This window comes from Homo sapiens, chromosome 22 (genome assembly GCF_000001405.40).
Source record: "Homo sapiens chromosome 22, GRCh38.p14 Primary Assembly".
NCBI classification, from domain to species: Eukaryota; Metazoa; Chordata; class Mammalia; order Primates; family Hominidae; genus Homo; species Homo sapiens.
Window position 1 is genome coordinate 50170442 of NC_000022.11, and position 12851 is coordinate 50183292.

The 12851-nt window shown below is 64.5% G+C and overlaps 1 protein-coding gene across 5 annotated transcripts, besides 1 other annotated feature; it reads left to right on the forward strand.

Annotated features, from left to right (window-relative positions):
- Nucleotides 1-289: 289 nt before the first annotated feature.
- Nucleotides 290-9854, forward strand: PANX2 (pannexin 2). Of its 5 annotated transcripts, NR_027691.2 has the most exons (5): nucleotides 290-515; nucleotides 4991-5041; nucleotides 6498-7961; nucleotides 8493-8694; nucleotides 8780-9854. NR_027691.2 is itself a non-coding variant. In XM_047441448.1 (4 exons), exons 3-4 carry the CDS (start codon nucleotides 6674-6676, stop codon nucleotides 8834-8836), a joined length of 1632 nt encoding a protein of 543 aa, XP_047297404.1. In that variant the 5' UTR covers nucleotides 290-515; nucleotides 4991-5041; nucleotides 6498-6673; the 3' UTR covers nucleotides 8837-9854. The 5 variants fall into 5 exon arrangements, 4 of the variants coding, with proteins under 4 accessions (XP_047297404.1, NP_001153772.1, NP_443071.2 ...); XM_047441448.1 differs by having other exon boundaries at nucleotides 8493-9854; NM_001160300.2 differs by lacking the exon at nucleotides 4991-5041.
- Nucleotides 1123-1815: an enhancer, noted in NCBI's record as "H3K4me1 hESC enhancer chr22:50609993-50610685 (GRCh37/hg19 assembly coordinates)". NCBI's record gives its function as "activates a minimal SCP1, AML or CMV promoter by ChIP-STARR-seq in naive H9 embryonic stem cells {active_cell/tissue: H9 hESC(naive)}" and the evidence as "EXISTENCE:reporter gene assay evidence [ECO:0000049][PMID:30033119]".
- Nucleotides 9855-12851: the final 2997 nt, after the last annotated feature.

Genomic DNA, 12851 nt, shown 5'->3' on the forward strand with positions numbered 1-12851 from the left:
CGGCGGCGGAGCGCCCCCCAAACCCCGCTGCGGGCTCCGCGCCCGGCCAGCCCCGCACCCGCCGCGCGCCTCCGGCTACTCCCATCCCCCGGAGCCCCCCGCTCGGTCCCGGCGTCCCCTGCCACCCTCTCCCGCGGCCCGCGGCCCCGTCCCCGTCCCGCGCCCCCACGCTCCCCGATCCCCGCCCCCGCGCCGCGCGTCCCCTCCCGCCCGCGCCCCCCTCGCCGGGCCCCGCCCCGCGCCCCCCGCCCCGCCCGCGCCCCCCGCCGGGCCGCGCCCCCCGCCCCCCATGCACCACCTCCTGGAGCAGTCGGCGGACATGGCGACCGCGCTGCTGGCGGGAGAGAAGCTGCGGGAGCTGATCCTGCCGGGCGCGCAGGACGACAAGGCGGGCGCGCTGGCCGCGCTGCTTCTGCAGCTGAAGCTGGAGCTGCCGTTCGACCGGGTGGTCACCATCGGCACCGTGCTGGTGCCCATCCTGCTGGTCACCCTGGTCTTCACCAAGAACTTCGCAGGTGAGGCCGGCGGCCGGGGCGCGGGGCGCGGGCAGAGGGGGCGTCCGCAGGTGTCCGGGAGCTGGCGCTTCCCGCGTCCCCGGCGGCTCCGTCCAGCCGCGCCCACCGTGGCCTGGCTGCGTCCGCGGCGTCCCAGGCACCTTCCACAGCCGCCCCCATCCTAGCAGGTGTCGCTGGTCGCACAGACCCCTCGTCTCTATTTTATTGTTGTTCTTCCTTCCATTCGTCCGCCCATGGCCGCGGGTGGGACTAGGCCTGTCTGGACCCAGGGGTCCCAAATGTCATGAGACACGGGGTCTGGTTTGGAGAATGTCACAAGCAGCGCCTGAGGGGATGCAGGGTGGCCAGGTGGGGACCAGGAAAGGCCGGGATGGGTGTTGACAGCAGAGAGCTGATTACAGGGGCTGGTGGAGCTGCCGGGCAGGGTTCCCAGGCTGGACTTGGGTGGAAGGAGGGCAGAGAGAGTCTCTGAGAGGCCCAGGCCCTCCACCCCTCAGGCAGGGCGAGGCCTCTCCGGGTGCACTGGGGGCCTCCGAAGGTTTGAAGCAGGGGGGCTAGCATGGGGCAGGGCCACGTGTCAGAGCAGGGAGCCTGGAGCTCCTGCAGGGAGATGGGGGCTGGACCAGGGCAGGGACCCGCGCTGGTTAGATCAGGACCTGTGGGGGCACTTGAAGCCACCCAGGCGAGGCAGGAAGATGGACAGAGCAGCCAGCCTGCCTGTGAGCCTCTGCGGGGTGGGGTCCTGGTGCCTCTGCCCTCCCCAAGGAGTGGGGCGAGACAGGTGGAGCCGAGAACTTCCTCCCCTGGGGTCTGGGCCAAGGCAAGGGGGATCAGGGTCTCCTGGCCTGTGTGGCCCAGAGGTACTAGTCTGCAGCGGGGAGGGGTGTTGGGACCCTGGGGCCCTCTCTTCTGCAGCCTCCAAACCTCAGCAGACCCTGCCTCAGCACTGGCGCTTCCCAAATCTCCCAGATGCCTTGCCTTAAGGAGTCCCCGTGGCCTGGAGACACCAGGCCTGAGGGTGGACATTGGCCAGGCTGTCTGATCCCACCCAGGGGTGGAGGAGGCCTCTGCTGGTCTCCTCTTCGACACTGGAGGCCAGACCCCGGGGATTAGAGGACCCCTGGGGTGGGCACACAGCACACTCTGCAGAGCAGGGAGCCCAGGCGTGCGGTGGGGCCTTGGGGCAGGCCCAGCATGTCCAGACACCACGTGTGTTCTCTGTGTTTGTAGCAACCAAGTACCGCAAACTAGGCAGTTTCAAACAGCAGACATTTATCTCTCATGGTTCCGGAGGCCAAAAGTCCAAAATCGAGGTGTCGGCAGGGCCCTGCTCCCTCCCACAGCTCTAGGAAAGGGACATTCCAGCCTCTTCAGCCTCTGGTGCTGCCGGCAATCCTTGGGCGCCTTGGCTCGTGGCCGTGCCACCAGTCTCTGCCTCTGTCTTCTCATGGGCTTCTTCCCTCCCTGTCTGTGTCCAAATTTCCTTTTTTTTTGAGACAGAGTCTTGGTATGTCGCCCAGGCTGGAGTGCGGTGGTGCGATCTGCAACCTCCACCTCTCGGGCTCAGGTGTTCTTCCTGCCTCAGCCCCGAGCCCCCAGTAGCAGGGACCACAGGCATCCCACACCACACCCAGCTAATTTTTGTGCCATGTTCCCCAGGCTGGTCTCAAACTCCTGGGCTCAAGTGATCCTCCCATCTCAGCTTCCCAAAGTGCTGGGACTACAGGCGTGAGCCACTGTGCCCTTTTCTCTTCTTCACCACCCCCCCGCTTTTTTTATTTTTATTTTTTGAGACAAAGTCTCGCTCTGTCACCCAGGCTGGAGTGCAGTGGTGCGATGTCGGCTCACTGCGACCTTTGCCTCCCGGGTTCAAGCGATTCTCCTGCTTCAGCTTCCCAAGTAGCTGGGACTACAGGCACCCGCCACCACGCCTGGCTCATTTTTTTTTTTTTTTTTTTGAGACAGAGTCTCGCTCTGTCACCCAGGCTGGAGTATAGTGGCGCGATCTCTGCTCACTGCAAGCTTCGCCTCCTGGGTTCACACCATTCTCCTGCCTCAGCCTCCCAAGTAGCTGGGACTACAGGCGCCCGCCACCATGCCCGGCTAATTTTTTGTATTTTTAGTAGAGACGGGGTTTTGCCATGTTGGCCAGGATGGTCTCGATCTCCTGACCTCGTGATCCGCCCACCTTGGCCTCCCAAAGTGCTGGGATTACAGGCGTTGAGCCACCGTGCCTGACCCATTTTTTGTATTTTTAGTAGAGACGGGGTTTTGCCATGTTGGCCAGGCTGGTCTCGATCTCCTGATCTCAGGTGATCCGCCCGCCTCGGCCTCCCAAATTGCTGGGATTACAGGCATGAGCCACCGCACCCGGCCCAACTTTCTTCTTTAAAGCGGAAAGGAAGCGAGCGCTCTGCCCCCGAGCACCCTCCCAGGAGCCTATGGGCTGGTTCCTCTTTTTGGCTTCATCATCCTTGGAGGGCCGAGCGCAGCCCCTGATGCCGCAGGGCAGGGTTGGGCCTGAGGGCCCGTGTGGCCAGCTGCTGTCTCAGGATGCAGTACCCTCGAAGGTTGGGGGCCAAGTCCCAGGGTCTCCAAGGTGGGCTGGGGAAGGGTCTCGGCCCCCCTCAGCCTGCAGAGAGTGGAGAATGTAGCAGGTGCGCAGCCACCGCCAGGATTAGCTTCCTGTGGCTGCTGGAACAAACCTACAAGTCAGAAGCCAGATGCGAGTCTCATGGGGCTAAAACGAAGGTGTCAGCAGGGCTGGCTCCAAGGGGGAACCCACTTTCTGCCTTCTCCGGCCTCCAGAGGCCTCCACATTCCTGGCCTTGCAGCCCTTCCTGCGTCCTCAGAGCCGGCTGCGTGGCGTTCTCTCTCCCAGCCCCACTTCTGTCCTCACATCTCCTCCCTGACTCTGACCCTCTTAGAAGAACCCTGCAATTGCTGCCCACCAAGACCCCCAGCCTAGGCATGTCTGCAAAGTCCTCGTGAACCGGGAAACGTGACACCGCCACAGGCTCCGGGGTTGGGATGTGGCATCTTTGGGGGCCATGATTCTGCTCACTGCAGACCCCATGTGGAGGTCTGTAAGGCCAGGGGAGTCGGGGAAGGGCCAGGGCCTGGCCTCGGCTGAGGGCTTCCAGGATGTGGCAGTGGTCTGGGGTGACCAGACAGGGTTTGGCCAGCAGGCAGGAGGAGGCTGCGCAGAGCCAGGGGTGTCCTGGAGAGGTGTCCCCACTCCCCAGGTGGGAGGACAGGGGTGGAAAGGGCTGTTGGGAGGGACCCAGCTTCACCCTTGGGGGGCACCTTGGGGCCATGTGCAGGCCAGATCGCAGGGGTGGGCTGGAGATGAGCTTGGGGATGGCAGAACCGAAGAAGGGCAGGACTGGGGGAGGGCCGGGGGGGCTGGGCTTTAGCCTCGGGTCCTGGGGACGGCATTCTGAATATGGGAATATGGGCCGTGTTGGGGTGTATTCAGACACCCGCTCAGAGGTGCTCCAAGCAGCACCAGGCCCCTGGCTGCCAACTCTGATATTGTCACTGGGGCTCTGAGGGCTGGGTGTGGACAGGCTCCTTGGCTGGGAAGCCAGTGTCCTCTCGGGGCATAGCTGGCATGGCCAGGATCCACACAGCAATGTCTTCCAAGAAACGGGCCCCTGGCGGCGGCTCTGTCTGCCCTGTTGGATGGGCCAGGCCTTCCTGCCTTCCGTTTGGACACCTGCACTGGCCCAGGCAGGGTCCCACTGTCCCTGGGAAGTCCCAGAGGAGGGCCTCGGACAGAGGACCCGTAGCAGTCGCTGCGTGTGGGATGGGCCCGTGGATTTGGGCTCAGCAGCCCCTCTCTGCTGCCCCACCCCGAGTCAGGCCAGCACCCCCGGCCCTGGCAGCCCCTGCTAGAAGCTGTGGCAGCATCCACCGGGAAAGGCCCGGCTGCCAGCACAGCTTTGAGTCCGTCAGGACCTGCTGAGGCTGCCAGGAGCACCCTGTACCCTGCAGGTGCAGCGGGTCCAGGGAGGAGGGAAGCCTTGCTGGACATGCCTTGGGGCCCCCAAAGGGCCGGGCCGGTCACCTGCAGTGAGTCAAGGCAGTATCCTTGGTGGAGCAGATGAGGAAACTGAGGTCGGAGTGGCAAGCAGGACTTGGCTTCCCCTTGCTGCCGCCATCCGGCAGGGAGACAGTGACAGGCATGAGGAGTTCGGGTCCAAGTGGGGCTCCGCACAGTGGGGGCAGCTCGCCAGACACGTGGCTCGGTGTGGGGCCCCTGCTTTCATCCACCTTGGAGGAGGCCAGGCCGCCCCCTGCCCCAGAGCCAAGGAGCCCTCCTTCCCATCTCCCTGCGGCCCTACTGGAGTCTGGGTCCAGGGTTCTGGGGCCTCTCCCCACCCATGTTGGCCACACATGCCCAGCAAGGGTGGCTGCCAGGGATGGGCCCAGCTCAGGACGGGACACAAACCTGTCCCTGTTCTCTTCCCCAGGGTGGACGCTCTTCTCTGGCTCCTGGGATTGGCTGTGAGGACAAAACATAAGTAAATAAAATATGCCATTTTCTCAACCAAGAGAGTGGATTCCTTTGCCTTGTCCGGTTTGCTCTTCTCTGAGCCCAGCTCATCTCCAGCTCGATGTCCCCACCGAGGACTCGGGCCTCAGGTCCCAGCTTTTCCTGCCTCTTCCCAGGCTCCCTCCCAAACCCTCCAGAGTCCCCAGGACCCTCAGGGGGATCTGATGACTCATGGGAACCCTCCCTGAGCAGGCTGTCTGGACTGGTAGATGTGCCTCAGTGGTGATGATGGCAGCCGGGAGCTCCGTGTGGGGTCTGAGGGGCTCGTTGCTGAGCCGGGTTCAGGGCTGGAGGTGCCCAGCCCCTGGGCCCCTGTGGGGCATCAACAGTGAATGCTGCTCTTCCCAGAGTGGACAGAGTCTCTAATCCGCCTCGCTTTCCGTCCCTAATTCAGGCCTCGGCACAGACGGACAGGCCTGTCCCTGTTGCTTCTGGTCTGTGGGGAGGGGATTGTGCTGATGTGGGCCCTGCCCTGGGGCTGCTCTTTGGGGCTGGGAGACAAGGCTGAGGCTGGTGTGGGCCTCCGCGCCTGTGCTGTGTGAAGGGCTCAGCCTGAAGAGACTGCACGGTGGCTGGAGGCCCCCAGGCTCTGAGCCTTCCTGGGAAACGTTAGCAAGATCCCAGCCGCTCAGACCCCACACTGGGCCAAGGCGCGAATGTCCTGAACACTTTCACTGCCGTTCGTGTCATTGTCACCTGCAGGCAGAGACAGACTCTTGAGGGAAAACACAGAGTTCAGTAACGACCATTTGCCTGCAGTTCAAGGGACTCCCTCTTTTCAATTTTAGCGGCAGATACCGCAGTCCAGCTGGTGACATCCCCAACCAGCCCCACCTGGTGTCTGGTGTCCCCAGGCTGGCCAGTCCCCAGAACAGTGGGTCTTAGGGAGGCGCCCCTCACCCTCAAGGGTGGGCAGAGCCCACCCTGCCTTCCCGGTGCTGTGGAAACCACCCTGCCAGCTAGCAGCACCTGAGCCAACCGCCTTCCTCCCAGGGGAGCCCGGGCTGTACACGGCCTGTGGCTGGGACCTGGTTTGGGTCCGGCTGTGTGTGGATAGAAGAAGGACCCTGGCTGGGAGTCCTGGCCTGCCTTGGCCCTCTCTGGGATTTGGTTTCCCCTTGTGCACACAGGGCTTTGTGACATTTGGAGAGGCGCATGGCTCAGGTGGTTTCGCAGGCGGTCATGGCTTCCACCTGCAGGTGCCCCGCAGCTGACCTCGTGGGGGTAGTCAGGGCGGGACCCCCACACCACCGTGGTGGGGGGAGGGGGTGGGGTTCATCTGGGCAACCGCAGGTGCTGTGTGGGAGGAGGCTGGAGAGGCTCCTGGGAGGGGTTCGGCAGGGACGCGGTCAGGTCCAGCCCGGTTTCTTCAGCCCAGCCCGTGCGCCTCCCCGCCCCAGCCCGTGTCTCCTCTTTGCCCCCAGAGGAACCCATTTACTGTTACACCCCGCACAACTTCACGCGCGACCAGGCGCTGTACGCCCGCGGCTACTGCTGGACGGAGCTGCGGGACGCGCTGCCCGGCGTGGACGCCAGCCTGTGGCCGTCGCTGTTTGAGCACAAGTTCCTGCCCTACGCGCTGCTGGCCTTCGCCGCCATCATGTACGTGCCCGCGCTGGGCTGGGAGTTCCTGGCCTCCACGCGCCTCACCTCCGAGCTCAACTTCCTGCTGCAGGAGATCGACAACTGTTACCACCGGGCGGCCGAGGGCCGCGCGCCCAAGATCGAGAAGCAGATCCAGTCCAAGGGCCCGGGCATCACGGAGCGCGAGAAGCGCGAGATCATCGAGAACGCGGAGAAGGAGAAGAGCCCGGAGCAGAACCTGTTCGAGAAGTACCTGGAGCGCCGCGGCCGCAGCAACTTCCTGGCCAAGCTGTACCTGGCGCGGCACGTGCTGATCCTGCTGCTGAGCGCCGTGCCCATCTCCTACCTGTGCACCTACTACGCCACGCAGAAGCAGAACGAGTTCACCTGCGCGCTGGGCGCGTCCCCGGACGGGGCGGCAGGTGCGGGGCCCGCGGTGCGCGTGAGCTGCAAGCTCCCGTCCGTGCAACTGCAGCGCATCATCGCGGGCGTGGACATCGTGCTGCTGTGCGTCATGAACCTCATCATCCTCGTCAACCTCATCCACCTCTTCATCTTCCGCAAGAGCAACTTCATCTTCGACAAGCTGCACAAGGTGGGCATCAAGACGCGCCGGCAGTGGCGCCGCTCGCAGTTCTGCGACATCAACATCCTGGCCATGTTCTGCAACGAGAACCGCGACCACATCAAGTCGCTCAACCGGCTGGACTTCATCACCAACGAGAGCGACCTCATGTACGACAACGTGGTCCGGCAGCTGCTGGCGGCGCTGGCGCAGTCCAACCACGACGCCACCCCCACGGTGCGCGACTCGGGGGTGCAGACCGTGGACCCCAGCGCCAACCCCGCCGAGCCCGACGGCGCCGCCGAGCCGCCCGTGGTCAAGCGGCCGCGCAAGAAGATGAAGTGGATCCCCACCAGCAACCCGCTTCCGCAGCCCTTCAAGGAGCCGCTGGCCATCATGCGCGTGGAGAACAGCAAGGCGGAGAAGCCGAAGCCCGCGCGCAGGAAGACGGCCACGGACACGCTGATCGCGCCGCTGCTGGACCGCTCCGCCCACCACTACAAGGGCGGAGGGGGCGACCCGGGCCCCGGCCCCGCCCCTGCCCCCGCCCCGCCGCCCGCCCCTGACAAGAAGCACGCGCGCCACTTCTCCCTGGACGTGCACCCCTACATCCTCGGCACCAAGAAGGCCAAGGCCGAGGCGGTGCCCGCCGCCCTGCCCGCCTCCCGGAGCCAGGAGGGGGGCTTCCTGTCCCAGGCGGAGGACTGTGGGCTAGGCCTGGCCCCGGCGCCCATCAAAGGTAGGGGCAGGGCCGGAGAGAGGGGACGGGGGACTGGGGGTGGGAGAGGCGCCCACAGCCACAGCGGCCCACGGGAGCCTGGCCAGGGCGCTAGGGAAGGGAGGGGGCCTGGCTTGAGGCCCCCTCAAAGGGGGAAGGGAGGAGGCCGAGGTTTGAACCGGCTCCATCAAACGGACTTACTGTCAAGGTGAGCCTCAGGCCAGGCAGGGCCCTGGAGACCCCCCCGGGAGGCAGGTGGGGAAGATGCAGGCTGGAAGCGACGTGCTCCTGGTCAGCTTCCTAGAGCTCCGCGTGCGTGGTGCAGCCAAGTTCCTCGGGTGAGGAAATTCCACCGACGGCACTGCGGCTCCGGGACAGTGGGGCGGGGGGTGTTCCCAGGCCAACTGCTGTGTGCAGGGGCGTCCAGGCCCAGCGTCTCCAGGGCGCTTCAGAGCCGTGAGCCCTGCTCCCCCGCCAGCCTGCACTGGGTGGGCGCTGGGGGCGGCGCAGCGGAGGATGGTGTGAGATGTCTGTGCTCTTGGCTGTTTGCAGATGCTCCGCTCCCCGAGAAGGAAATCCCGTACCCCACAGAGCCAGCCCGGGCAGGGCTTCCCTCGGGGGGCCCGTTCCACGTCCGCTCACCTCCCGCCGCCCCTGCTGTGGCCCCTCTGACACCAGCCAGCCTGGGCAAGGCGGAGCCCCTCACCATCCTGAGCCGAAACGCCACACACCCGCTGCTGCACATCAACACGCTGTACGAGGCCCGGGAGGAGGAGGACGGGGGCCCCCGCCTGCCGCAGGACGTGGGGGACCTCATCGCCATCCCTGCCCCACAGCAGATCCTCATCGCCACCTTCGACGAGCCGAGAACGGTCGTGAGTACTGTGGAGTTTTGAGGGATGGCACCGTCCAGGCCGCCGAGAGCCCCTCTGCCTGTGTCGTGTGGCCTGGCCAGCCTCCCGGTGGACACCAGCCCTGCGTGGACGTGGCCTGTGCTTCGCCCGCACTGCGCGCATCCCCAACCTCTGTCCGCATGCCTGGGGCCTTCGCCCCCACGTGCTCGACAGGGGAACCCGCCCGGACGGCATCGCCAGGCACTGGCTGGGGTGGGGAAAGGTGGCCCAGTGGAGCCGGTGGCCAGGAAGGCTGAAGCCCGCTTCCCATGCTCCTGCATCAGGTGCCCAGCCGTGGGTGGGGGCCCTGAGGTGAAGAGTTTATTTTTTTAGTCCGTTTCGTCCTGGCCCCGGGCTGTGGCGAGACAGCCCAACTCCCCCAGCCCAGCTCCCCCAGCCCAGAGCCAGGGAAGAGGAAGGTGGGGCCAGTCCCACCAGTGGGGTGGCCACGCCCATGGGGTCACATGCTCAGGGGTCACCCCCTGCAGGGACCTGATGCCCTCGGGTGGGAGGGACCGAGGTCCACCCTCGGGTCAAAGGTCAACGTGCACTTTCTCCTTGTCGCCTGACAGACATTTTATTTTACTAAGACTGCTGTACCGAACAAGCATATTTATCATCAGGAGACAGGATGGGTTTAAAGCAGGATGGTGTGTGTGTGAACGGGCATGAGCAGAGGTGAGCGTGAGCGAGCGGGTGTGTATGTACGAGTGTGCACGTGTGTGCGTGTGCACAGAGGGTGTGGTGCCAGCTTGAGTGGGAGTGTGTGAGTGTGAGCAGGCGGGCGAGTGCGTGAGTGCACGCCAGCGCGTGGCCCATGTATGAGGAGTGAAGGGGCCCAACGCAATAACCACGTCCCCCACCCGGGCCCCCCGCCGCGGCTGAGGCCACATGGCTTCCTGTGGGAGCCCCGGCCGGCACCCGGCTGGTCCCACCCCAAATACCTCAGCCATGGAGACCATGTCATGCAGAATTAACAAGGTAGCACCGAGCATATCAATAAATATTATTCTGATAATCACCTGTGCTCCGCCGGGGACTTCGCCTCCCTCCACGCCCGTCCCCTGACTCGGCACCATGCGTGGGGGTGCTGCAGGACGTGGGGCAGGGGCTGCCTTCAGAAGCGTGACAAGGGGCCCCTCTGCACCCACAGTGAGTGTCATACTTGGAGCAGGACATGCCCTGGACTCAGGCTGTGGGCACGGAGGCGATTCAGCTGTGGCCTGAAGCCCTGGGGCACACAGGCTTGGGAGACGAATGCACGACCCCCTTAGTCTTCCTGCTCCTGCAGGGGAGCGAGGAGGGGGAGTGTGAGGCACCCTCTAGGAGAACAGAGAGCTGGCGGGATCCAGGAAGGCTTCCTGGAGGAGGCGCCCTCAGTGTGGTCTGGGATGCTCAAAACAACACAGAGATCCTGAGCAGGTGCCTTTGCTGGGCCCAGGACTCCATGGAACAAGGCTGGTCCCGTGGGTGCACCATGGAACCACATGCCCTGTAGACCCCGGCAGGTGACCCTGAGAGTCTGAACAGAGGCTCCTTGAAGACAGGTGGCTGGGCAGCTGGGCCAGAACCCCATGGGGGCTGGAGTGGGGTTGGGGGTGTAGGCCACTAATTGCAAGGGTGGGCTCGGCTGAGATCAGAGCGGGCCCACCTGCCACCTGGCCTGGGCTTCCTGGGAGCCCCATCGCCAGGCCCCTCCTGGAGCAGTCCTGAGCGGGCAGGCCTGGGCTCCCCAGGTTCCCAGGAGTCAAGAGGAAGGGTCTATCCAGGGTGTGGCCCCCACAGCCAGGGCCTGGCGTGAGACACACAGGGACACAAGCTGGAGGGTGCCTCCCGCCCTCCACGTTAAAACGGAGGTTTTTATACTCTTCTGGGCTGGCGAAGCCTCTTGCCATTAAAAGAGCTGGGCCAGGCGCCAGGGCGTACGCCTGTCATCCCAGTGCTTTGGGAGGCTGAGGTGGGAGGATCGCTTGAGGACGGGATTCGAGGCTGCAGTGAGCTGTGATTGCACGACTGCACTCCAGCCTGGGCGACACCGCGAGACCCTGTCTCTAAAAAAAATTTAAAATCTACTCAGATCCCCAAAGGAGGGGCACCCCGTGCCACCCAGGGCCACGCGGGAGGGCACTGGGGTCGTCGCAGACACAGGCAGTGGGGGGAAGCATGGGCAGAGCCTTCACTGTGGTTCCACCAAAGGATGGGCAGGGTGGGGCCACAGGCTCGGGACTCCAGAGTGGACACCCTGGTGGGTGCTGGGCAGGGGCTGTCCCTGGCTGTCGGGTACATAGCCCAGGGTGACAAGAGCAGGGGGACAGGGCCTAGGCTGTGAGAGCCCACAGAGGAGGCCTGGAGGGGGTGTGGGCCCTGGACTCAGGAGCTTGCACAGGAAGTTGTTTGCTGACAAATCGGTGGGCCCTAGGAGAGGCAGTCTCACCAGGGCCAGCAAGGCCTCAGAGGTCAAAGCAACAAAGCAGAAAATAAAAGGCACAGTTCGGCCGGGCGCGGTGGCTCACACCTGTAATCCCAGCACTTTGGGAGGCCAAGGTGGGCAGATCATGAAGTCAGGAGTTTGAGACCAGCCTGGCCAACATGGTGACACCGTCTCTACTAAAAATACAAAAATTAGCTGGGCGTGGTGGCGCGCACCTGTAATCCCAGCTACTCAGGAGGCTGAGGCAGGAGAATCGCTGGAACCCAGAAGGCGGAGGTTGCAGTGAGCCGAGATCACACCACTCTACTCCAGCAGCATGGGCGACAGCGAGACTCCGTCTCAAAAAAAAAAAAAAGAAAGTAGCAGTTCTTCACGCTCACCTAAGTCAGGACACCTCCCCAGCCTGCATGCCCATGTGCCCAGCATTCCCACGTCCAGGAGAGGGACCCGGTGTCACAGATCCCGGCCCAGGCCAGCCTGGTTGTGCAGGGAGGGCTGAGCCCTGGGCCTTGACAGCATCACCTTGGTGCTGCACCCACAGACCAGCTCAGTGGTGAGGGTGGGCAGGACATGGCAGCTGAGGAGACCCGAGGGATGGCGGCCTCCAGAGGTAGCGTTTGCCATGGGCGTCCTTGCTGCTCGCCAGCTGGGGCTGGGGACCCTCCTCACCCTCACACATGCACCCCGCCCACCTGCACCTGTCCTCCCTGCCCCAGCAGCCACCCGGCATCCCGCATGGCTCGGCTCAGGTAGGGAGACGTCCAGTAGTCCTTGGGGGCAGCCGGTCTGCGTGGTGCTGAGTCCCGCAGGCCCTGCCTCCCAGCTTGTGAGAGGAGCTGTCGCTGCCCAGAAAACGTCTAGGCCGAGGTGGGGCTTGAGCTGAGCCGGGGGACACAGGAGGCCTCAGGTGGAGCCACCTGGAGACTTCAATGTGACCAGGGCCATGGGCAGCAGCCACACTGCCCATCCCCCGCCTGTGCGCCTCAGCCTGGCAGGAGGTATGAAACCAACTCCTGTCTGGAAAGAGGTTCATGCCTCAAGTGAGCACCCTGCCCTGTGCTGGAGCTGGCCCTCCCTCTGCGCGGCCCGTGCTGGGGAGCTGGTGTCCGTCCTACAGTGAGACGCTGGCTCCCACCTCTCCCAGGTAACATCACCACCTTATCCCCAGACCTGTTCCTCTGGCTGTGTCCTTGCCAGCTGTGCCACGTTCCTAGAGGCAGGCGGGCAGAGGCCTGAAAGGGTGGCGCTCACCCTTGGCACTGGGTCAGGGCTGAACCGGCCCCAACCGCCTTCCCCCATAGGGCTCCCTCCCTCCCCTTGCCCCAACGCCTGCTTCTGTGGGATCTGTCACTCTGCTCCGAATGGGACTTGGCCCTTCCTCAAGGTCCACCCCTTGAGGACAAAGCCAGCCGGGGACCAAGACGGTCCCTCCCAGCACAAATGGCTTCACACAGTTTGTTTCTGTTCCTGAGAGCCCCCACCCTCCCTAGGACTCCTCCTCACTCCCCCCAGGGCACCTCCAGAAACCCTCCTCTGGCTGCTCCAGGAACAGGGCATCCACATGGCCAGCCCCCCGGCGTCAGGGCC

Coding starts and splice junctions, on each gene's coding strand:
- PANX2 (NM_052839.4), top strand. CDS start 290: ATGCACCACCTCCTGGAGCAGTCGGCGGACATGGCGACCGCGCTGCTG. Junction 516..6,497: donor CTTCACCAAGAACTTCGCAG/GTGAGGCCGGCG, acceptor CTTTGCCCCCAG/AGGAACCCATTTACTGTTAC. Junction 7,962..8,492: donor GGCCCCGGCGCCCATCAAAG/GTAGGGGCAGGG, acceptor GGCTGTTTGCAG/ATGCTCCGCTCCCCGAGAAG.